This window comes from Homo sapiens, chromosome 8, assembly GCF_000001405.40.
Source record: "Homo sapiens chromosome 8, GRCh38.p14 Primary Assembly".
NCBI classification, from domain to species: domain Eukaryota; kingdom Metazoa; phylum Chordata; class Mammalia; order Primates; family Hominidae; genus Homo; species Homo sapiens.
In genome coordinates, this window is record NC_000008.11 from 17,041,883 (window position 1) to 17,068,333 (window position 26,451).

At 36.3% G+C, this 26,451-nt stretch overlaps 1 protein-coding gene across 33 annotated transcripts in view, besides 1 other annotated feature; it reads left to right on the plus strand.

Annotated features, from left to right (window-relative positions):
* Positions 1 to 26,451, plus strand: part of MICU3 (mitochondrial calcium uptake family member 3) — a 111,403-nt gene that overhangs the window by 14,645 nt on the left and 70,307 nt on the right. For 32 of the 33 annotated variants that reach the window (XR_007060729.1, NR_182123.1, XR_001745514.2 and 29 more), the window contains exon 2: positions 22,202 to 22,355. The exons of the other annotated variant lie outside the window; for it this stretch is intronic. Coding sequence is in view for 23 of the 32 variants with exons in the window: in NM_181723.3 (NP_859074.1) it covers positions 22,202 to 22,355 (154 nt within the window). In the remaining 9 variants the exon portion in view is untranslated. The remainder of the gene's footprint in view (positions 1 to 22,201; positions 22,356 to 26,451) is intronic. 33 annotated transcript variants of the gene reach the window in all.
* Positions 19,064 to 19,565: an enhancer, noted in NCBI's record as "NANOG hESC enhancer chr8:16918455-16918956 (GRCh37/hg19 assembly coordinates)". NCBI's record gives its function as "activates a minimal SCP1, AML or CMV promoter by ChIP-STARR-seq in primed H9 embryonic stem cells {active_cell/tissue: H9 hESC(primed)}" and the evidence as "EXISTENCE:reporter gene assay evidence [ECO:0000049][PMID:30033119]".

Sequence of the window (26,451 nt, forward strand, 5' to 3'; positions counted from 1 at the left end):
ATGTCATCTTCTCGGAGCAAGATACAGAAATATGCGGAGTAACTATGATAGAGGTTTGGGGGAAAGTGGAGGATTGACCTAGCCACTGTAAAAAACTAGAAAACCATGAAATCTTTACATTTGTTCATGTTTTGTAATTGCAAGGCTCAATATGAGCTTTTTAACAATGAAAGTAATTTTTAACTTGCTCATGAAATGCAGTTTTTTCATGGTCACAACTTTTACTATTCTAATTTATAAGTTGTTGATGTTATCTCTTTTTTGATTTGTATAAACCTTAGTAATCTGATCTAATTAGTACTTTTTTTACCCATGATGCAATATTTAACTTACACAGCAAATGCACCAAACTTATAATACAATGCAGATTTTGTTATTTTTGTTTAAACTTGATAGACAAGTTTTAACTGGATAATATTAGATCTCACTGCTCTCCTGTAATTGTGCCAAACGCTGAGAATGTAACTTCATTTTATGTAAACACTCCTGTGATAAAGAAAAAATGTGTTTAAAAAATCAAGCAAGCTCGATTTATGGCATTGTCTATCTAGCATTAAAGAAAATGCCTAGTCATTTGTGTATTAAACAGGATTTTCTAGATTTATTATTTTCTTCCCTTTCCTCTTTAAGTAAGTCCTTACCCCTTTATTCTCTGATGTATTGATATATTATGTAAGCTAAGTAAAATATGGAACTTCAGTGCTGAATTGTTTTATTGGTTACCATAGTAGTGCTACCATAGCATAGTAGTGTTTTTGCTCATTAAAGAGTTATTTTTCTAAATTAGAAAAGTAGAATCTATGTTTTCTGCTTTTTTTCCTATTTTCTAATTAATTGTCTTCTAACCCTTCTAAAACTCCATTTCTAGAATTTAGAGTACAGGAAGTGTATACAAAAGAATTTCGAAACAATCCTTTTTTCCTGTCTGATAAGGATGATATCTATCCAGTTGACACTGTAAGTATTGACTAGGTGAGATATTTGCATTGTCCCTTTTCCTCAAAGGGTTATAATAGATGGTTTAAACTGCTTGTAGCAATTCAAAGTGATTTTTTTTTTTTTTTTTTTTTTTTTTGAGACGGAGTCTCACTCTTTCGCCCAAGCTGGACTGCAGTGGCGCTATCCCGGCTCACTGCAAGCTCCGCCTCTTGGGTTCATGCCATTCTCCTGCCTCAGCCTCCCGAGTAGCTGGGACTACAGGCGCCCACCACCACGCCCGGCTAATTTTTTGTATTTTTAGTAGAGACGGGGTTTCACCGTGTTAGCCAGGATGGTCTCGATCTCCTGACCTCGTGATCCGCCCGCCTCGGCCTCCCAAATGGCTGGGATTACAGGCGTGAGCCACCGCGCCCGGCCTCAAAGTGATTTTTTTAACTGGTTTCACATCAGATCAGAAAGGTCCTTATAATTTAGGCACAGTTTAAGCTAGCTCCAACCTATTAAAGTTAGTTATTTTAAAATAATATCATCTAAACCTCTTCCAACTGCTTTAAAATTATTCTTACTAATCTGACAATAAGAGGTTACTTGTAATTGTCCATATACATACATTGTCCCCAGGATATTGAGAAAGGTTTTGAGATATTACTATCATCAAGCTTAAAAATATAGTCATAAGGACAGTGATAGGCAGGTTTTGGACTAGGGCTTGTGGTGAATGGAGATCAGTGTGACTTAAACATTACTTCCTTTCTGGACTCAATCTTTGCTGTCACATGACCTCCTCCAGACTGCTTTCTATCCAAATAAATGGGTCACATTAGGATTTTATGTTCTTATAGTAAAGAATACACTTAGTAACCTTTTGGTCCAGTACTGTGAAGATGTGCTATCAAATATGTCTGTCTGATTCTCTCTGTCTGCCTGCTTTGTTGATGAACATAAAAGTCAAGTAAGAGTTTTGATTCAAGTCTTTTATAATATGAACTTAACAAATCAAAGTCAAGACGTCCTATTTGGAGAGAAAGGTAAAATATATCCTTCATACTTTGATTCAATATTGTAAATTTTGTGAGTTATAAGTACAAATATTGGGTTCTAATGTGTATTAAATAGTGAACTATGAAAAATATCCCACATATATGTCACCAAATAATTAAAATCCTGAAGTTATTCTGAATTATAGCAGTCGTTTATAAATATTCTAAAACCTTAGGCAAGAATGCATACTTAAGGTTCTTGCCTTTTGCTAGCAAATGATAGGAGAGCAACAATTTGTGTCTTTGTTCCTATACCCACACCTTTCACATAGCAGAATTTGGAACATGGTTAAAGCCGTAGATTGGGTTGAACATTGATGTTCAGTAGAGTGGTCAAAATGGGAAGGATATGAACCTGAAAGTTCATTATCTGAATGTCAGATATATAAGAGCAGAAGTTACCCAGGTAGTAGGAGGCTGTTGTTTGGTTCCAGGCTAATACAGAAGTCATAAAAACATGTCTCATATATTTTGGTGATAGGTTTTACTCAGGAAGCAGTCTGTTAGGATCTACAGAGAAAGTAGCATTCTTAGATGGTACTGTGTAATTCTAGTATCTTCTTCAGCAGTGTTTTCTTAATTGTAGGAGAGCAGAGTAGCTCCCTAGGAATTAAAAATTTTTTTTTTGGAAAAACAAAGCACTGAAGACAGAGGGATCAGAGGAATGTAACCTAGAAAAATTGGTGAAAACATTGTGGTATATTGATTGACTGATTCACAGTACTACATCCTAGTCCAAAAGCAATGTGGATCTTCATGTAGTTGTTTAGCTTGTGCTTGGGAAAATATAGATCTTCCTCCTTTTCCCTTTCCACATGTCCTCACTTTACAGTGACCTCCTTGCCTGTTTCTCCTTACAGTTGGCCTCTACAGCAGCTTCAGGCTCAGAGATTATAGTGATTAAGGAAATAACATAGGCTGAAATAAGTGAAAGCAGGTGTAATAAGGAGCAGTTGGCTTGGGGTGGGTCAGGAGACCTGAATGAAAATCATGATGCTGCCATTCCTTACCTATGCTCCTGGAGCTAAGGGAACACGTTTTAATTGGCCTTCCAGAAATTCTCAAAAAACAATTTTATCTGTACTTCACTGGCCAAAACTTGGTCAAGTGGCCCTGTCTAACTGCAACAAAGCCTGAAAAAGGTAACCTTTATTTCATATGTCTGGCTAAAAACCAGGGCTCTTTTTTTTTTTTAAAGGAAAATTGGAGAATGAATAATCGGAGGTATCTGCTAGTCTTTGTTAGATGAAGCCTATAGTGTTGAGAAAGAGGCTTTTAAACGAAAATGCTCAAAAATAAATTATGGAATACTTTGATGTTATGAGGTAGATAGATAACATATGTTTTTGTCCACAGTTCCTGGCTCGTAACTACCATAGTCCTTGATAAACAGACTCTCTCTCTCTTTCTCCTGCCTGCCTTTCACCTGCCCACAGCAGGACTCTAATCTGATTGAAGATCATAAGACTTTCATTCCAGGGAGCATCCTGCCCCATACCCTGGAGGAAGGAATGCTGCACAGAGAGGTCAAGAAGAATCTGAACAGACAGGCCTGCTGGGTTTAGATCATATCTTTTTTATCCAGTCACATTTCAACATGGTTTTCCATGTTTTAGTCATGCTTATGAAGTCCCCATAAAAAGGCCTCATAAAAAGTCCCCAATGAAGTCCCGATAAAAAGACCCAAGAGGGCAGAGTTTGGGAGTTTCCAGATAGCTGAACATGTTGAGGTTCCTGGAGGGTGGCATACCCGGGCTGGCAGGGAAGCTGCATGCCCCTTTCCCCATACTCTATCCTACACATCTATATTAGTCTGTTCTCATGCTGCTAATGAAGACATACCTGAGATTGGGTAATTTATAAAGGAAAGAGGTTTGATGGACTCACACTTCCACAATCATGGCAGAAGGCAAAGGAGAAGCAAAGTCACATCTTACATGGAGGCAGACAAGAGGGCATGTACAGGGGAACTCCCCTTTATAAAACTGTCAGATCTCATGAGACTTAGTCACTGTCATGAGAACAGCATGGGAAAGACCCGCCCCCATGATTCAGTTACCTCCCATTGGGTCCCTCCCGTGACATGTGGGAATTATGGTAGCTACAATTCAAGATGAGATTTGGGTGGGGACACAGCCAACCCATAGCATCTCTTCATCTGTATGCTTTGCAGTGTCCTTTATAATAAGCCGATAAATGTAAGTAAGTGTTTCCCTGAGTTCTATGAGCTGCTGTAGCAAATTATTTGAATCCAAAGAGGGATCATGTGAACCCCAGCTTGAAGCTAGTCAGTCAGAAGTTCTGGAGGCCTGGACTTGTAAATTTCACTGAAGAGGGCAGTCTTGGGAACTGAGCCCTTAACCTGTGGGATCTAGCACTATCTCCAGGTACACAGTGTCAGAATTGATTGGAGGACACCCAGTTGGTGGCTGCTGCAGAACTGATTGATTGCTTGATGATGGGGAGAACCTCCTCATACCTCACATTTGGTCACAGAAGTCTTCTGTGATGATTGTTGTGTTGGTCTGAGAGCAGAGGAAAAACATGGTTTAAGCGTTTACAAACAAATACCTCCTTGATAAAGTTTTATCATTTTGGTTTTGGTAATATAGAATCAGTCATAAAAATCTTTTAAATGTAACTAAATACCACACTGTACTTATAAGAAATTGAGAGAAATTGCCAGGGACAGAAATAAAGAAGAAACTAATAACTGCAATGGTGTGTGAACTGTGAGTTACTTGGGGGAGGAGAGGTGTCATGATTCATGGAATTCTAGGCACTTGGACTTTAGTGCTCATGTGGGGACAGAAAACTAGACCTTGGGAAGCTGGAAGTGAGATGCCACCTACCTAACGCCAGAATTCTCGTCAAAAGGATGGACAAGGAAAAAAATCTTATGTCTGGTATAAGCTGATGACATGAAACCTGCAAATTTCCTCCTGGGCTCAGAGTAGAAAAGAAGACTCTTCTGAGAATGTATACACATGGCTCCATACCACCTCATGTGGGCTCAGGGTTAGAAGTTACATTACCCAAGCAGAGAAGGAGCAGACATAGCTGGCAGAAAGAAAAGCAAAACTTCTTTGGAAGGAAAAGCCCTTAACACTGGCCATATGTGATTCCTATGGATAAAATCTAGATGAGAATGAGCTCGTAATCCAAAGCACAAAATATATGAAGTTCTGTGATCAAGAGTCAGTAAACTGAATGATTGGATTCCTAACAGCTGGATAATAGGATAATTTGGTTGAGTCTGTTACTTAAGTATATTCAAAATCATTGAAGATACAATGAAAAATTAGCATGAAAAAGCAGATCACTATAAAGAATCAAATAGAATTTCTAGAAATGTAAATATAGCCATTGGAGGCCAGGTTGGCTAGACAGCATATAAGAACTGTAGCAGCAGTTAATAATCTGAAAGATAATTTTGAAGAAACTGCACAGAATGTAACACAGAAATGAAGATATGTCAAATATTATGAAATATTTTTAACATGTGGAAAATAGACTGAGACAGTCCAAAATTCATCTATTAGGGGTTACAGATGAGGAGGAGAGAGAATGAGAAAGGCAGTATCCCAAGAGATAATGGTTGAAAAGTTCCCAGGAAGGAACAAAGACATTAATCTTCAGATTCATATGTCCTGAGCAAGATCAATAAAAATATTTAGTCACATTGAAGTGAAACTGTAAAATCAAAGATAAAGAGAGACAGGACAGACTTCCTACAAAGGGACTGCAGTTGACCTGATTATAGACGAATCCATCGCAACAGACAGAAGCCAGAGGACAGTGGGCTATATCTTCAAAAGTGAGAGAAAATAACTGCCACTTAGATTTCTATACCTCGGTAAGTTATTTAGGAATGAGAACAAAATAAATTTATTTTCATAAGAGACTGAGAGTTTACCAGTATCAGATCATCATTGAAAGAACCACTGAAGAGTGCATATCAGGAAGAAATGAAATGAATTAACATAAAAAGGGGTGAAATTCAAGAAGCAATGGAGAACAAAGAAATTAGTAAAAATGAGAGCAGTTCTTAACCATTGATTGTATACAACAACAATTATTATTATTTTAAAAGAAGTTACAATGAAGTGGATTTCAAATAGTGAACAACTGATACGCAAGATAGTGGGCCATGACGAGTTAAAGTGTTTCATGGGGGAAACCAAGATCCCTTCTTCATGTCATAATTATCCAGGTGGATTAGAATCCTACATGTGATAAGTAAAACTTTGAGATATTTAGAGGAATATATATGTTTCGATGTTCGAAACAAGATAAAAAGCAAAACCTAGAATGGAAAATATTACTACATTTCACTTCATTTAAAATATTTAATAAAATAAAAAGAAGTCCTGGAATGGAAAAAGATATTTATAGTACATAGCCCTCACAAGGACTACATATCCTAAATGTGTAGATCTACAAATTAATAAGAAAAAGAAAACACGATAGAAAAATGAAATAGAAATTCACTGGCCTTAAAGAAGGCAAAGGAGTAGCAAAATCACATCTTACATGGAGGCAGGAAAGAGAGCATGTGCGGGGGAACGCCCCTTTATATAAAACCATCAGATCTGGTGTGACTTATTCACTATCACAAGAACAGTGTGGGAAAGACCCACCCCCATGATTCAGTTACCTCCCCTTGGGTCCCTCTCATGACACATGGGAATTATGGGAGCTACAATTCAAGATGAGATTTTGAATTGAATCTTCTTCACAACTACCACTTCTTTATTTCATTTTATTTTATTGAGACAGGGATTCACTCTGTCACCCAGGCTGGAGTATGGTGGTGTGATCACCCCTCACTGCAGCCCCAACCTCCTGGGCTCAAGATATCCTCTTGCCTCCGCTTCCTGAGTAGTTGGGACTACCTCATACATCACCACACCCAGCTGATACATTTTTAAAAAAATTGTAGAGACAGGTTGCCACTGTGTTGCCCAGGCTGGTCTCAAACTGCTGGGCTCAAGTGGTCCTCCCACCCCAGCCTCCCAGAGTGCTGAGATTTTCGACGTGAGCAAGGCACCCAACCTGTCTTTGAACCTGGCCTGGGTGCATATACTCTGTAATATGCTGGGAATTTATGAGCTTATTATGGATCCATGCAAATAAACAGTACACAGTTCTGTATTTCGGGGATGGATAACTTACTCCATTTCTTTGAACGTCAGCCGTTTTCTCTTCTTTCATAAGTAACTGAATATTTCAGACTGGGAACATTTCAGACTTTTCTCTTCGATGATGAGACTAAATTTCTAAACAATACTCTTCAAGTAAAAATTTTAACCCATTTATGCCTAGTGTTCCATTGTATCCTGGGACACTGAGCCAGGAAGACCGAGGGAAGGGTGGTAGAGCATGAGGCAGTGAAACCCACAAGAAAAAGCCAGACAGTAGGAATAGTTTTATCTCCTTGGACATATTTGGAGAATATCTAACTTATAGTGCCACAGAGGTTCTAGATATTTATAAACTTTGTGCCTGGAGTTGAGTAGCCAAACACTATTTCTGGACCTAGCTAGTTAATAGTACATCAAGAGGTAGAGTCTCTTGATTCTGTGGGCCAAGGGAAAAGGCAGTATTTGCATGTAGTTTTCATTTAATCTTTACAGTTTGTGGGCTTAGTATTTATTTGTCCATTTTATAGTTGAAAATGCTAAAGTTTGCAGAAAGTTAAGTTATTTTTCCCAAGGTAACCTAACTAGGAAGGGATGAAGCTGGCATTTGAACGTAGGCCGGAAGGATTGCAAAACCCATATACTTTCATTCCAATATAACAAGTTGTGTAATGTGAAAAAACACTGGGTTGTGTGTTGTAATACTGAAGTTCTGGTCCCAGACCCATTTGCTGCCTGTGTGACCCTGTTGAAGGCCCCTATAGATTAAGTTAACTCTTTTGTACAGTTGCACTAATAATATATGTCTGCTTGCCTTTTAAAAAATAATACTCCATTCCAAAATTTATCTACATCTTTACATACATATATTCCTATAAGACATGAACTTTTGTTTTTTTACTCATTTTTCTACAACCTGTTTTTTTCACCCTAGTGTGTATCTTGTGACTGTTTCTATGGTAGCACCTCTAGATCTACCATACCCCTTTCCATAGTCACAAACTATTCCATGGGTGTGCCATAATTTATTTAACCATTGTCCTGCTGCTGGAAATTTTGATTGTTTCTATTTTTTCACTATTGGAAACATGCTGCAGTGACTATCCAGGGATCTTAAGTACATGCAAATATTGAATTGTCGGATCTATAGCTATTAAATTTTAATAGAAACTTAAAATTATCTTTCAGAATGGTACGCTAAGATTTACTTCTACATGTAGTAAGTAATGAGCAGTTTTCTTACAAGTGCTGTATCCCTGAACAATATACATATATTTTTGTGAATTTTAAAAATAATATGTCCTTCTATAATGTATATATTTTATTTAATATTATATTTAGGAAATTTATACATATTGACACATGTACTTCTAGTTAATTTACTTTCACTACTGTAAAATATACCACTTTATTAATATTTCATTAAACTGATATAATTTCCATTTTTATTGATATTTTTGTGAAGATTGATAAATGGTCAGTTTATATAGTCCCTGTTTATTAAAAGCAAAATTAACAAGCACCTTATTCTGTTACTCAGATCCTTTTTCTTATTTGGCTTCTCTATTTGATCTGTCCATTTCTAGTTGAGATCTATTCAAGTCTCAGCCATGATTGTGAACTGATAAATTTTCATTGCTATTCTCTAACAGTTTTTCCATTATGTAATTTTAAGCTGTTTAGTTCATGTGTGTAATATCTTTTTGGTGAGTTTTTCTTTGTCCCATTTAATGCTTTTGACTCTTAATTCCATGTATTTTTTAACATTCTGGGTAATGTTTAACAGTGACTCTTGTAGGGGACATTTTTATGGCTTTTTAAAAAACGCAGTATAAGAGTTGCTCTTTTTCAATGGGGGGGTTTAAACCTATCCTATTTATTGTGATTGAGAACATGTTTGCATTTATTTTTGCTGTGTTATTATGAGCATGTGTTACCACTTTATCACCTGGCATTAGATTGGTCCAGTTTCTTATTATTTCTCTCCCTCGAGTAGTTTGAAAGTCATGCATCCTGTTTCTGGTCTTCAATTGGTTACACATAACATTTAAATGGTTTTTTATATACATCTGAAACTTGAGGAAAAATCAGTATCAGAAAATTTTTTATTCCAAAAAAGTTCATTGAACATGTTTTATTACATGGCCCTCCCCACCTTATATTTTTCTGAAGTCAGCTACAGTATTAGTACCACATAGGTATTGGTTTTTTAATATTATGTTTTAATTTTTTTATATTTTAATTTTTAAAGCAATCACCATTTAACAATTATAGTAAGCTTTACACCCACATTCACTTATTCATTTATTCAGCAAATAGTTGAGAGCCTGCTAGAAGCCAAAAACTCTTCTAGGCACTGGGGAAACTAAAGTGTACCAAGTAAACAATTCCTGCGTTCATGGAATTTATATTGTGGAATGCAGGAGACAAATTTTGTATTTCTCAGCATATTTATAATATTTGAAGGCTAGATGAGATCATCAAGTGGGTAATTGTAGATTTAAAAGAGGAAAGGAGGTCCAAGGATTGGCCCTAGGGCAGTGTAGTTGGGAAGTACCAGCAAAAATACCAAACAGGAATACCCAGAGGGATAGGAGGAAAAGCAAGACAGTGAAATCTTACAAACAGAAAATAAATGATTTCAAGGGGAAATGAGCCACCAACTGTGTCAAATGCTATAAGAGGAAAACTGAGAAGTGACCTTTGGATTTAGCAACAAGGAGGTCATTGATGACCTTGACAAGCAGTTTTGGTGGCATGGTAGAGAAGAGAGCCTTGCTGGAGTAAGATCAAAAGAGAATGAGAGGAAATGTAAACAACACTCTCCAGTAGCCTTGCTGTAAAGGGAAGGAGAAAAATGGCAGGGAGGAGAGCAAAGGTAGCTAAATAGAGAGGAGGGACAGGGCACTTTCTAAGGTGGGAGGAATAGCACCGTGCGTTATGCTGAAGGAGAAGTATACAGTGGAAGAGGAAAAAATAGGTTGGCAGGGCCAGGGCAGTATTGCTGAACCAAAGTCTGAATAGGCAGGAAAAGAGGAGGTCTACATGCTGAACCACTATGCTATACTGCCTCTAGAGAAAAAGACTTTCATTTATGTCATCTTTCAATCAAATAATGAGATGATGTATGTGAAAGTACTTTATAAACTTGTAAAGAACCCTATAATGTAAGCTACTATAATAATACAAGTAGAGACTTAAATTTTTTTTTGTTTTTTATCATGATACATAATATTTGTATGTATTTATGGGGTGTGTATGATATTTTGATACATGCATACAGTATGTAATGATCAAATCAAGGTATTTAGGTTATCCATCCCCTTGAACATTTATCATTTCTTTGTGTCAAGAACATTTCAAATCTTCTCTTCTAGCTATTTTGAAATATTTGAATTTTATTATTAATTACAGTCACCCTACTGTGCTATTGAACTCTAGAATTTAATTTCTTCTATCTTACTGTGTTTGTACTCATTAACCAATCTGTCTTCATTTCCCCAACCCCCACTCACCCTTCCCATAGTCTGGTAACTATCGTTGTACAATTAGAGGCCTTAAAAATTATAAATGGTCAGTTGCTTTATCTAGCAACTTTTAAAAACTTTGATCTCAGCCAGGGAAGTACTATTAGCTTGTCTTCAGCTGTGTGTATTTCCACACAGACGCATTTACTAAGCATCAAAACATTTCACTTAGAGTACTTGGGATTTTCCCACACTGGGAATTTGAGGTTTAACCTTTCGACCACCCAGCAAGCAAAGAAAATGCTACCTCTTTTATCTTCAAGATGCCTTTAAATAAGCCTGAAGCCATTTGGGAAAACCAAATGTAATACTTCCATGAACATCTTTTTTAGCTACTTGAATAGAATCCCATGCAAGTCCATAAGATTCTTGCCCAGATAATATAGTGTAGAAATATAAATTTGCAAGATTATTTTTTATGTTTTATAAAAATGTTGGTACAGTTGCCAACATAGGGTAAATCCTAATACCAGTGCTCAATTCCCTACATGAAATTAATACATTTTAAAATCACTCTTTAAAATTTTGAATAAAACAAATGTGTCTTAAAGAAACTAATAAGGATGAGTAATCTAAATAATATTGGTGAATACAAATGATTTTAATTCTTCTTTCATTGTTCATTCTCATTTCTCTGTTTCACGGTTGCTAAAAGGTAAGGTATTATGCAGAGTAAGGTATTATGCAGTTTAGATAATTGATATAATTGTTTTAAATTGCCTCTTTTAGGGTATTATCAGCTGGTAGGCGTAAGTTTCTCTAATTGTCAAGTAGTGAATCCTTTATCTGGCATTTAATCTTGCCTCCCTGGGAAAACTAGACCTTAACACAGAGTAAATTTTTGAATTGCTGACCTGAAGTAACGTGAGCCTGTGCCTTGGCAATGAACCTTTGTTTTCTGTTTTTATAGGAAGGATAATGATGTACTCTGTTGCCTGAAGGCCCTAGCCTCACTACCTTAACAAGTAACATCTAAGTAAGGTTGCAAAGGTCTGAGTTTGGAAATTCCAGAGAAGATAATTGTATTGACACAATATTTTTATTTTTCTGGGAAAGATGAGGTAATTTAAAAATGAAACTTTTGTCATTTTTTAAGCTTCTCATCTTAGTTCTGTCAACATGACTTAAAGCATCCACCAAGTTACCTAAAAAGAATTATTACTTAATTTTTATGAAGAAATCATGTATATTTTTATCATTTCAACGTAAATTCTCATAAATAGCTCACAATTTCTCAATAAAACAGAAGAAATAGAGCTTTCTAGAGGTAGAAAGAAGAAGATTCCCTAAACGTTTTTAGCAAATGTGAAAAGGGTGTCAGGCAATTCCCATAAAATAATTTCCTAGAAGGTGTAAGGTGTAATTTCCTAGAAGGAGTAACATGAAATGGCAAATTTCAGTTATCTTTTAGCTCTCGATTTCTGTGATTTCATGTTTCTACTGTGTGGCCTCACACTTATAAATAAGGTAAGTCATGTGCCAGATCTGTGATCTGTGCTTGGGCAGTTTTCTGCAGGAGCTTTGCAAGGTCTTTTTGATAGAAAAAAAATTCCGTTTCAGCAAAATTTGCCACATCTAAAAATACTGCAATGATACCTTACCTTGAACTTCACAATGTCTATATTTTCCTATTCGGTGAAAAATAGCACTATAAAAAGTTTCACATATCTAGTTAGAATATTCCCATATGAAGCCAAGAAATTGTAATATTATTACATTTACTAGGTAATATTTGACAAAATCATACATGCCATGATTTCATTATTTTGAAGTTTGATGATATTTTATTTTCAGAATGGATTTTACTATATGAATGAAAGAAATGAAGTTGTTAGGATTTAAAACTTAAGTTTATATACATATATGTATTTGCAGGGAGTTTTATATTTTGTTTCTGTTACTTAGATTTTAGATTTAGAATTTTTGGTTATTTTTGTTACATACTTTGAGTATAGCAATCTGCCACCAAGTTTAGGAATAATTCAGTTGCATAATTATAGAGCAAAATGTGAAGACCTGTAGGTAGTTCAGTCAGTTTTTGTAAACTAAACTGTAGGATACTAATAATACTTACTGTTCAGTCTCCCTTAGGTAATGTGGGTAGGTTTGTGGAGGCAGAGCAAAAACCATTTGTTTACCTTCAACATCTCTCAACATTCAAGGACTGAGGACCAGACCCAAATGTTTTCTTTTTCTTTTTCTTTCTTTCTTTTTTTTTTTTTTTTTTTGAGACAGAGTCTTGCTCTGTCGCCAGGCTGGAGTGCAGTGGCACGATGTCAGCTCACTGCAACCTCTGCCTCCCGGGTTCAAGCGATTCTCCTGCCTCAGCCTCCCAAGTAGCTGGGATTACAGGCGCCCGCCACCATGCCCGGCTAATTTTTGTATTTTTAGTAGAGATGGGGTTTCACTATGTTGGCCAGGATGGTCTCGATCTCCTGACCCCGTGATCCGCCTGCCTCAGCCTCCTAAAGTGCTGGGATTACAAGCATGAGCCACCGTGCCCAGCCCCAAACGTTTTCTTAATCTGTTGCAGTGTTTTGAGAAAAGGTCAGAGTTACGGAAGCATTTTGCCAAATTTGGAAAACAAGGCCAGGCAGAGTACAACTGCAAATAACACTAAATATCAAGCCCATGGCTATGTCTAAGAATTTGGAAAGAGATTACAGTCTGCAGGAGATGAAATGTATGGAACTGTCAACCTAAGTGAATCACAGCAGTTTAGTGTTTCCTGAAACAATGATGAAGGTGATTTAGAAGTGTTACCTCCCATGAGGCTTTTAATTTTACAAATGTGGTTTGTTTTGGAAGTGAGTCTCTCCATCTTTCTTAAACTTACTCTAATGTTTTTCTTTTTAGTCCTTAATATTCCATGAGTCCCTGATGTTGTCACCCAAAGTTGGTATGACAGAGAGACTGCAAACTGTTGAGCACAATTTCTTCTCCTTTTCCATAATAGTTAGGGTATAGATGTCCAGCTCTTCTTCATTTTCCATCCTTACTTGCACTTAAGTGTGGTTGTGTGACTTAAGTTCTCTTCAGTTGAAGGTGAGCAGAAGTGATTTGCACCACTTCTAGGCCTGGCCTATAAAAGCTTCTCACATGAACTTCTCCCATACTTTATTTCCCTCTCCCTTCGTTGATAATGACAGAGTCATCATCTGCCTGGGTCTCTGAATGACTATATAAAGCAGAGCTCCTTGATCCCACTCCCAGCCCCTGTCCTAGTACGTTCTCTTGGGGCTCTTATGTGAGAAAGAAAGACACACACTTGTGTTGTGTTGGAGCCATTACATTTGAGGAAGTTAGCCTACCCTGTCTAATACAGTAGAGAAGGGATTAATTGGTGAAGGTCTTGATCATTGAGAAGGGAGATGATCGTTTTTGGATAAAGGTGAATTAACTGTCAGCTAGACATGTCTCTTAAGTCCTCCCAGTATGAAAGTTCACCTAACTGCCTGCCTGTACGTTCAACCTCACCACACACACTAAGACCCACAGAATATAAGGAGCTTTAGATTAATAGCTAATTGGCTGCTTGACATTATTAATGTAACTGATTGATCCCTGTGATTTAGCCCCAGTCTTCTATCCGAATCCCCTGTTTCAGATTCCTATCTTAGAAGGTCACTTAAAGGATCCCAGTGACCTTATGTCAATTCCCCAGGGACTACATTTCTTCTTCCTGAATGGAGGCTCCTCTTATCTACTTACTCTTCTTTGAATAGTGGGCTTCAGTCAATTTGCCTGCTGCTTGAACCTCTTTGTAATCTCCTCTATTCCTGGCTGAGGTTCATAGTCTGGGTCTTGAAGTTGGTTAAGGATTGTGCCAAATGAATCATATGCTGCATCTCCCATACCTTTCCTGTCTGGCTTCTTGTTCCCTCCATTTGCTGCCTGCTCCTGCAGTCCTCCGTGTAGTGCTCTCCTGCAGTCTTACTCATTTGAACCTCTTCCAAGTGATATTTATGTTTTTCTTTTTCTTGCAAGAACTTATGGCTCAAGGAATTCATGATTGAATGGAAGAGACAAATACGTAAACAGATAATTGCAACCTGGTGTGACTGGAGGAAAGGAGTACAAGTGATGTAATAGGGATATATAAAGGAAATCACTAGGATTTATCCAGATACTGTGTTGGCTCACAGGGAAGCTGTGTGGTCAGAGTCTAAGGTATGCTATCACAAGGGATGTGATTAATTAGGAATCGATGTGGAGCAGTCAGTAGCTTATACAGTAGAGAGGGTGTGGCAGCAGAAGTTTTCTGGAAGGTGGCCTTCGTGAGAATCACATATTCCATTTGATATGGAACATCGTGGATTCATCTCCTTGGCAATAGCTGGAAAAGTATTGGAGTCATCGCCAGAGAAATTGCGAAGTTAAGCAGGGAACTGAAGTAGATCTAAAATATTCCCGGAGCTGGCCATGGCAGAGACCATTACGGTTTCCAGAGTTTATCCTAAGCTCAGATGGAAATTAGACTCATTCTTGTTTCTGTCAACAGGTTAAGCTAAGAGTTTGGTTAGTATTAGCTTAGTTGATTTTATGAAGTTCTGTCAGTAAATAACCATTGAATGTGTTGATAACTAGCAGAGCTTTAAACAGACAGAGTTTAGAAAGAAGCATTAAGGAGATCTGGTAAGTAGCAGCCTAACACCAAGCACTGGGGTGGGTAGGTAAGCATGCACTGCAGTTCCAGAGGGAACCTGTGGAGCAGGAGGAAGATGTCTCAGGCACAGGTTGACAGGAACCCAGGTACAGACATTGGGAAATCAGGGATGGGTTGGTTCTAAGGATAGGGAGCAAATCAGGAGCTCAGTTCTTGTTCCCAGAACATAACAGGCGACACCCTGATCTCTGGCCTGAGAGTATGTGGTTACCTCCAACCTGGAACAGGATTGGTTCCAAAACTTATATGAAAACAATAATTCAAGGTTCAAACAGTATTAATTATATTTAATCTCTAAGAATTTTTAATTAGAGCAAATTTTTAACATTGATAATAGCTATAATTTATAATTATTGTTACAATTAATATAAGTTATAATCTGTAGAAATTAAGAATTTTTCTTATATAATTGCTTTATTCTATAACTCCTCTCAGTCTCTTCCCTACCAATTTGCAAATGATCTCCTCCTACATTACCACTTTTGAAAGGCATATTTTAAAGTATGTAACACTGAATTGATGATAATGATTTTCAGTTTAGCAATTTATGGTTTCACACATGAATGAATATAATTCAGGTTTTCTTGGCTTTAAGGTTAGCTTTCCCTGTTGACCTTTTTTTCGTTTTTTGTTGTTGTTCTTGTTGTTGTTGTTGTTGTTGTTGTTGTTGAGACGGAGTTTCACTTTTGTTGCCCAGGCTGGAGTGCAATGGTGTGTTCTCAGATCACTGCAGCCTCTACGTCTCAGGTTCAAGTGATTCTCCTGCCTCAGCTCCCCAAGTAGCTGAGATTACAGGCACTCGCCACCACACCTGGCTAATTTTTCTGTATTTTTAGCAGAGATGGGGTTTCACCATGTTGGCCAGGCTGGTCTCGAACTCCTGACCGCAGGTGATCCACCCGCCTCGGCCTCCAAAAGTACCCTATTGACTTTTGACATATTACACTTAGCGACAAGTTTTTACTGCATTGGCAATTTGTGATGCCAAAAGTACCATTTACTGAAATAATACATAGTAATGAAAGATGTTTTGGTTGATTTTAGTAGGATTTTTAAATTGGAAATTAACCTTTAAAAGATATATTGGATCTAGGTAAGCAAAAAAGGTATTTAAAATGAAGTAGCTCAGCCAGTGAAACCTATTCCTAGTAATATAAGGATATACACCTAATCACAGAACCACAGATTCATTGTGCTCCAGTGAAATGGCCATATTTGTTTTTTAAAAGGTCCAGAACATGAACGTGATACAAGATCATTGTCATTTGTAAACAAGCAAGACTCACAAGAGGTTTAGTAAACTGGTTTAATGTCATGTTCCGCCTTTATTATTGATGTTTTTTTTTTCTTGAATGTTTATAATTGTGATGTTAAAACTTCAGAGACTTTGGGGTTTTTTTAAACTTTGGAAAGTTCAGAAGCAAAGCTCAATCTCTGAAAGGTCTGAGTTCCTTTTGACACTTTGATGGTCTGCTGGCCAGCTGCCGCCTCTTTCTCAGAGTTTCCAGTAGATCGAGTATACTCAGCAGAACTTCATGGACTGCTCCAAGCCAATCTCCTGTGCACTCTGAGGTGTAGCTTGGTCAGAACTGTATCATAGTAACAAACGACAAATTATTCATCTTATGCCATTAGATCATTCTCTAAGTAAACTGTCTGTTGATAAACTCCAGAGAAATAAGCATATGGATTCTTGAAGTGTTTGAAAGTAGTTAGGTGTATGTAGGCAGAACATGATTAAACCAAGTTTATTTGTTTTGTCCTAAAACAGTTTTAGTTAATGTTGGTAATCTTCCAATTGACTAATTATTTTATAATATTTCATTTGTATGTAATAGGCACACAGCAAGTACCTGTTGAATGAGTCAGTGAATTTACATTTGTCATTTGTTGACATTAAATATTCATCTTGGAAACTATATAAGCTTAAAAGAATGCAAATAATAGAGTTTCATCCAATATAGTTTGAGTTTTTGTTTGGGGATTCCTATTTATGCTGCTACTCACCCAACACATTTTAAATATTTGTTTGGGGACTAGTATTTACGTTTCTATTCTGATGAAAACGTGAAGAAACAAGAGGACCAAATGATCTCTAAGGACCATTCTAACTCTAAACTCATTTTCAGAGAACAAAGTAGACCAGGTGAATACCAATTCCTGATAAAAGGTAGAAGATAATTATCAAAACTAACAGCAGCCATTGCTTTTATTGGCAATTCATTAGAAGCATTCTCTTCAAAACGTAGAAAAAGTCAAGAGTGCTTAATATTACTGATAATATTCAACATCATTTTTATAGACCTACCACTCTAGCAATAAGGCAACGAAAATGAGATATAAATGCTGAAAAGGAGAAGCTACAACTGTCACCATTTTGAAAGAATTTGTGATTACCTACTTAGCAAATCTGAGAAAAAAGTTTAGTGAAGGAATTTAATAAGATAGTTGGATATGAAGCAAATACACTAAAGTTAATAGCCTTCCCAAACAAAAAGTAACCAACTGAAAGTGTAATAGAATAAAAGATCCCATTCTCAATTCAAATTACACAGAAATTATGAAATGCTTAGGAATGAATCTACCAAAAAAAATTTAAAATTTATATGAAGAAAACTACAAAACTTTATTAAAAGACATAGTTGAAGACTTGATTAAATAGACATCTATGTTCCTAGGTTGGAAAAATCAATATTGTGAGACGATCAATTCTCCCAAAATTTAATGTCATCTCAAACAAAATACTAGTAGGATTTTTACAACAGAATTTGATACACTGATTTCAAAGTTTACCTTGAATAGAAAATTACCTGTCATCACATATATTTTTAAACAGATTGACAGGTACAGTGTTGTTTTAATGTCAAAACATATTCAAAAGATATAGTCATTAAAACAGTATGGTATTTGAGTAGAAAGAGACAAATAAGTTTGTAGAAGAGAACAGAGAACTTAAAAACCAACCCAAGTATTGAGTTTCTGTTTCACTCTCCATCCTGTCTCATTCTCCATCCAGATGAGCTGAGTTCTCCTAGTTGATAATAAGTAGACTATTCTGGGATCAGACCAATTTACTGGGTTATCATGGGGAAACTGTTTACTTTTTTTTTTTTTTCTTTGAGACAGAGTCTCGTGCTGTCGATTAGGCTGGAGTGCAGTGGTGTGATTTTGGTGTACTGCAGCCTCTGCCTCCCGGGTTACGAGTGATTTCAAGTGATTCTCCTGCCTCAGCCTCCCAAGTAGCTGGGATTACAGGCATGCGTGCACCACCACACCCGGCCAATTTTTGTATTTTTAGTAGAGACAGGGTTTCACCATGTTGGCCAGGCTGGTCTCGAACTCCTGACCTCAAGTGATCCGCCTGCCTCGGCCTCCCATAGTGCTGGGATTACGGGCATGAGCCACTACGCCTGGCCATTACTTACATTTAACCAGTCCATTTTTCATCTGAGTGGTATTGGTGTGTTTTAGTAGACTGTGTGCTTTATTATACTAAATTGAGCAGAGACAATGGAGGAAGCAACCAGTTGGTGGTACTGGGAAGCCCTTTTAAGCACCAGGCCTCTGGTTATCTCTTTTATACATATTCTTTTTTTTAGGATATAATTTTTTTTTTTTTTTGCCTGGGGCACAAACCCTTTCCAAACTCCTTACTGACCTTCTTTTAAAGTGGTGCTAAATAGAAATGTGGGCCCGCACCTAATACCATTGTCAAAAGCCCCACTTAATATTATTGCTAAGCCAACAGGAGTGGATTCGTAAAGTGGAGTTTTAATGAAAACCTTCAACTCTGCTTGGTAAGATTTCTTTTCATACCCTTACTTAGGTGGTTAAAGAATGCAAACTTTTCTGTAGTTCTGCATGTTTTCTCTCACTTCAACATGGGATGGATTAGAGGTAACAATCACAGGGCATTACTATAAAACTGTAGGAAAGTAGTAATGAGTCCCTGAACAAAGGTGGTGGCAGTGGTTTTGATGTGTGAAATTAGAGAGAGGACTGCAGGCTTTGTTAGTTGATTGTTGGTAGAGGTAAAGGAGGAGGGATTGTCAGCATTAGCTCAAAGAAGGTGGATCACATTCCCAGCTGCAGTGGTCAGGTGGGTTTGGTAAGCTGGGGGATTGATAGACTATGCTTAAGGAAAGAAAGTTTGATGAAAAAACAGGCATCTCAGGAGCGGTAGTGGCAAGAGATGAGAAAACAGGCATCTCAGGAGGTAACAGGGTTTGGTAAGCTGGGGGATTGTTAGACTATGCTTAAGGAAAGAAAGTTTGGTGAGAAAACAGGCATGTCAGGAGCAGTAGTAGCACCAGGTAGAGACAGAAGCCACAGATCAAATATAGATGTTATAGGCAGAAACTTGGGGTGCAGAATGGTAGATCGAGGCATGCTTCATTCAGATCATGCTGCAGAAACAGTGGGAGCTCCAGGCTGAGTGGTCCTCCATGAAATTCACTGGTGATAAATCATGGTTGATTGATGTCACCTAGGCCCAGGGAAATGGCCTAGCAAGAAAAAAGTAGAAAAGTAAACTCTAGTCACAGATGAGATTGGTTTCCCACCTTGAGAGGAAGAAGAAACCCTGAGATATGTATATACAAGGGGACTAAGATGGTAGTCTGATCCCCGAGGACCATTCAGGGAGATGATTGCTCGTTTTTACCAGTGAGCTGTTCAGTATCTCATGTCTCACCCACGGCAGGGCCAAAACAATTTTCCAATACCTGTGGACACCTGAGCAACTGTTATCAATATACTGCTGAGCCAACTTGTCTTTGGTACCAGGTTGCTTTATGTTTCTAAAGCACCATTTTCTTTGAGTCATTGCTCCACTTAAGAATCTCCTAAGACCATTTGTTTACTGTTAAATTAAACTCCGGGGCTTTAGTCTGGCATTCAGAAATCATTAGCTCACCATCCTTTTACTACACTTCTCCATGAATATGAATCCTCTGCCCAGGAAGATTATGGCCATCTTTCAAATATGCTGTAGAAACTCCACATGTTCATATCTTTTCTTGACATTAAAATTTATCATTTTTCCTGAAGCCTTCTTTTTAAGCCCAGCCTATGGCACCTTTCTTCTATTTGCTTGCATTTAACCCATTCCGTTTCTCTGTTTGTGCCTTTTGTCTCTCCAGCCAGCATTCTCTCTTTCCATATAGATTGATATTCATTCCTTAAAGACAGACACCACAACTTCCATTTCTTATGCCGTTAGAAGTGGGGAGCGAAACTTTTTTTCAGTTTTTATTTGACTACTCCTGTAATGTTTTGAGAAGTCTTAGTCTTCAGAATGATGGAAAAGATTAATCATTTGCCTGGCTTTTCGTTTAATAAGATGTAACTTAGAAATAAAGTAGTATTCTTGCCAAAAGTTTCTTTGGGTTGTTTTTGTTATGGCTTCTCAAGGTACTAAATATTTAAACAGTTTTTTCTTATATGAAATCATTTTATAAAATACGTGAAAGTATAATTTGTGTGTTACTGATAATCATGTAAATTGCTATAAACTCCATGAAGACAGTTTGACTAAAAAGTCTTCTTTGACTAATCAGTTTCACTCCTAAGGATTAAGGGAGGCTAGGCAGGAGAGTCGCTTGAACCTGGGAGGTGGAGGTTGCAGTGAGCTGAGATCATGCCACTGTACTCCAGCCTGGGTGACAGAGTGAGACTCTGTCTAAAAAAAAAAAAAAGAACTTATCCTGAAGAACTGTTATGGATATTTCTGAATATTTTCAAGGTTGGTCATTATACCATTGTTTTGTAATAGCAAAAGATTAGAAGTCAACATGAATAACCAAGTAGAATTGTTTATGTTATACTATAAACATTTTCTATGGAATATTATACAGTTAACAAAAATGGTCTTCTACAGGAATAGTGACACAGGAAAATGGCCCCGAAGTTTTAGTAAGTAAAAAGGTCAGATTACTGAATGATATATATGGTATAATCCCATTTTCTTTGCCAAAAGAAAGCAAAAACAATTCTATCTATAAATTTTTAGATTCTGTCTTCTAATTTTATACGGTAACTACTAGAATATTTAGTGACATAGAAAAATGGCCCTGATAATTGATAAGTGAAAAAGATCAGGTTATTGAAGCATGTATGGTAAAATCCCACTTTTTTGCCAAAAAGAAAACAAAATTATACTTAACAAATTTTTTACAATTCTGTCTTCTAAATTACATGTAAGAGCTTTGCATTTCTCTTGTAATCAGGAAAATAAATCCTTTTATTAAAAAAAATTGCTCTAGTTACTTCAGAGAGAAAATAACAATGGAATATTATCTACAAGGAAAGGTCTTGAAGGAAAAGAGACCCCTAAAATTCAGACCAATGATGGCCACTATACTGTAGTGATCTGGAACTAGCAATTTCACTTCTAATCTAAATATTACCACTAATGGTTTCCTTAGTGGTAGTTATAAGTAGCCTATTGGGATTTTACTTTATTCTTTTAGAAAATTAGTGGATGTTAGTGAATAGACTTGTAATTAAATACATTAGCCTATAAGAGTACATAGTAGGCATTCAGCAAGCGCTGGTGTTCCTTCTAAAAGTACCACTGGCTCCATAATTTAATGTTCTTTAAGACTGAAGCTTAAGAAATAAACCAAAAAAAAATCACAAATCACTTCTCCAAAGTGCCAGTTTAAAATCCTTAAGCTCTTAATGATATTTTTTGTAGAATCTTTCGAATATTAATTTATTTTATTTATGTGAATAATTTATTTATAAAGTGATTAACGTTTTTCAGAAGACGATATTTTCACACTTCCTCATTTACTCTGTTTATTCACTTTCAACATAATTAAAAGTATCTTCTAGAGGGAGGTATTACTTCACATCATCCAAATGTATTTGCTTTCTTAACTTTAGGTTGCTATTGGCAGAACAGACATTGAAGACTTAGACCTTTATGCCACATCTCGGGAGAGGCGATTTCGTTTATTTGCTTCTATAGAATGTGAAGGGCAGTTATTCATGACTCCGTATGATTTTATTTTGGCTGTTACAACAGATGAGCCCAAAGGTAAGTACACTTTTGAAATTATCTTAATAATTGTATAATTTTTTTATCTCTAGCTTGTGAATGGATGGAGCAGTATAAGTTTTTTAGAAGAACTGAGTAATGTGGTATTTCACATGATATTGTGCTATTCAGTGTTACAGACTGATATTTCTTACAAACTCTTACTCACATCTCTTCTCTTTTCAGAAACTTTCAATTGCTCCATCTTTCTCAGCTTAACACCATCTTACTTTTGATACTCTTTATAAAAGACTCATATTCTGCCTCTTCATTCTTATATCAAACCTGAACAGAGTAGTTCAGAGGACTGGCTTTGAGGTTAGCCCTGGGCAAGAATTCTACCTGTATCTCTTCTGCGTTTGTCATAGCTCCTGCAGTGTAAATATATTAATAGTTTCATTGTCTCTCACCTTTTCATATGTTAGAATAATGGTTCTCAAAATTTTTGGAAGTATGTACATTCTTGCAAATCTCTTAATATCTAACTTAACAGAAGACAGCTGTATTCTCATGTGTGCTTTTTTATTTGATCTGTTATAATATGTTGTTTTCCATGAAATATATGAAGAAAATCTACCTCACAGACATGGACAGTAAAAAAAGGAGTATTTTAATTGCCTTTTTAGATTATTATAGGTACTCTCCTTTGATACTGTATCACAATTGGCTGGTGGTAGTTGCAGCTTCAAAAGTCTCTATAGATGGTGGTAAAAGAGTAATGAGAACCGAGGATTTCTGGCTGGCTTACCTGGATGGATGGCACTAGGGACCAGGTTTGAGGAGAAAAATCACAATTTCAATTTTGGTCATGTCTATTTGAGATACCTTGGATATATAAAAGGATACAGTGTATTTTTTTAAAAAATAATTCATTTCACTTCACTGAAAGATCACTCACTAAAAATCAGTATAACAAATAATCATTTGTTCGACCCATATCTACTTTAAACTGTCACACAAATACTTTAACTTAGACTAGAACAATTATAGCCATTTTTTCCTCCAGAGACAGCAATATGGCAAAAATGAACCTTAAAATAAATCCTCAATAATTTGACAAATTGGCTACTTGACATAGTAACTTTTAATGAATTTTTGATTCTTTGGATTATTTCCACTGGATATCAAGGAAGAGATTCAGGTATATATTTAGGATTCATCTTTGCATTATTGCTAATTCATAGAATGTGTATGAATGAAATTGCCTAGGGAAGCTGTATAGGATGAGAATATAGATAACCAAAGACTAGGCCTTGAGGAATTTCTGCTCTTTAAAAGATGAATGGACAAAAGGCTTTGAAAGGATGAGAAAAGGGGACATAGGAGTGGCCAGAGACATAGGAAGAAAATCATAAGGGTATGTAGTCATGGAAGCCGAGTAAAATAGCCAGAATTGCCAATTGAGTGCAGTGTTACTGAGAATTCAAGTTAGATAAGAACAGGAAAATGTCCACTAGATTTAAAAACATGAAGGTTATTGATGGTTTTTTAAAATGATGTTTCAGTGGAGTCATTAGGGCAATTGCAGGAGTGAGTAGCAGATGAAGAAATGAAGACGATGAGTGTAAAGGACTCTCTTACAATATTTGATTGCAAAAGAGAAAGGAACTGAAAGGTAGCTGTAATGGAATTTGAAGTAGACACTTTTGATTATGCAAGATTTTAAATTAAAAAAAAGATTTTAACAAGAAACTATGAGAGTAACGTTTAAAGAAATGTAAACTACATAAGCAAAAACATGAAATCAAGACAGTATATGGTATAGTCATAGTAGCCACTTTGGGAATATGTAGGGCCATATAGTGATGGGAAAGGTGAAAAATTAAGTAGAGTTCTTTTTTTTTTTATTTACGAATTTTAAGGCTGTGATAAGTGTTATATCCTTTTTATTTAATCCATTTGGTACAATGTAGATTCTTTATTAGTGAGTTAGTATAGATTTAATACTAATTTGCTAATAAATATAGAGACCATGTTGTACCAAATCAATTAAATAAAAATGTATGGAATATTTATATGTCTGCTTCTGTATTAAGGTTCTTTTCTGTGTGCTAAGGGGGATACAAAGTCTGTGCACTCAGGAAACTTACGATATTATAAGACGACGTAAGATACAGAACCATCTCCAAGGTAGAATATGGTTACCTGGCACATGATAGGTACACAATAAATATTTCTTGAAGGAAGGAATTTGTTAGATGCTAAATGGTATTTTATATCAAATTCTATAATTTTTTCAAACATATTTGAAAGCTATTCTTTAAGTGATTGTTAATAATCTATATATATATATATATATATATAGATTTTTTTTTTTTTTTTTGAGGCAGGGTCTTGCCCTGTCCCCCGGGCTGGAGTTCAGTGACGTGATCACTACTCACTACAACCTCAACCTCCGAGGCTCAAGTGATCCTCCCACCTCAGCCTCCCAAGTAGCTGGGACTACAGGCACATGCCACCATGCCACCAGCTAATTTTTTAAATTTTTTTGTAGAGAGAGGGTTTTGCTATGTTTCCCAGGCTTGGCTTGAACTCCTGGGCTCGAGCAGTCCACCTGCCTCAGCCTCCCAAAGTGCTGGGATTACAGGCGTGAGCTACTGTGCCTGGCCACAGTTTCATATTTTGAAAAATTTTACTTCATTATTTTCTAGAATTTTTTTCTTCAGAATACATTCACTGGAAGCACACTGTTCGATTTTGCTTTTTGGAAATAACTTTTGTGGTGATTCTTCTCATAGATATTTTAAAACCATAACTTAAGAGTAAAAAACTGGTTTCTATTATAGAAAAGTTATACAGGATATTTTACAACCACAACTTCAGTTAATTTCTAACCAGCACTTTTCAAACATAATTAGGAACAATCACAAAAGATCAAGATATTCATAAATCCTGTTTTGAAAGTTGGGGTTTTAGAAAAGGAAAAGAATAGAACAATGTTTCATGTACTGAGTATTAAATCAGATATGTTAAAACTGTAGCGTAATGAAATTTGACTTGTGTTTAAACCTTGGCATTTACTGGCTTTGAAAACTTGGTTATTTAATCTTCTGTTTCCTCATTTATAAAAATAACAGCCTCATGAAGTTTTTCTTGAAGATCGAATGAATTATGGTTAGTATAGTACCTGGCACACAGTAAACATTTAATATTGGTATGTCATCATCATCGTCATCAGAATTCATAGCCATGATTTTTTTTTTTTTTCCCCAAGAGGAGACTCGCTCTGTCAACTAGGCTGGACCGCAATGGGGTGATCTCAGCTCACTGCAACCTCCGCTTCCTGGGTTCAAGTGATTCTCCTGCCTCAGCCTCCTGAATAGCTGGGATTACGGGCAGCTGCTGTCATGCCCAGCTAATTTTTGTATTTTTGCAGAGCTGGAGTTTCACCATGGTTTAACCATATTGGCCAGGCTGGTCTCAAACTCCTGACCTCAGGTGATCCTCCTGCCTCGGCCTCCAAAGGGGTGCAATTACAGGCGTAAGCCACCATGCCCAGCCCATAGCTGTGATAATTTTTAAGCAAATATTTACACGGCACACCATTTTTTTCGCTGTTTAAAATCATAGCCATTATTTTTGAAAGTTTTTGATATCATTTTATGATGACATTCAACAGGGAAAAAATGGTATGCTGTGTAAATATTTGCTTAAAAATTATAGATCAAATAAATGTTGAGATATCTGTTGATTATGATTTTGCATTATAATCTTATTTTGCATACTTAAATAGAACCTAAATGGTGACTTTCTTTTCTAGAACTAAAATCAGTAATTATTTTCCAACATAGCATCAAGAATTATTTTAATTTAGATTTTTAAAAATATATTAAATTTTTCAGACATACAAAAACGTATTAAAAATATAATGAACATCAACCTACAGCTTAAGAAATAATATTTCCACTAGAATTGAAGTCCTTCTTCACCTAAGTTATATTTATATGTGCAGTAACTTCATATGAAATAAGGAATTCAGAAAATCCTTTGAAGAGCAATCTTAATGGCTCTTTAGTCTTTATTTAAAAAGATAATAGTATTGAACATGGTGACATTTCCGACAGAATGAATATGTCTTTTGTGAATAATTTACCAT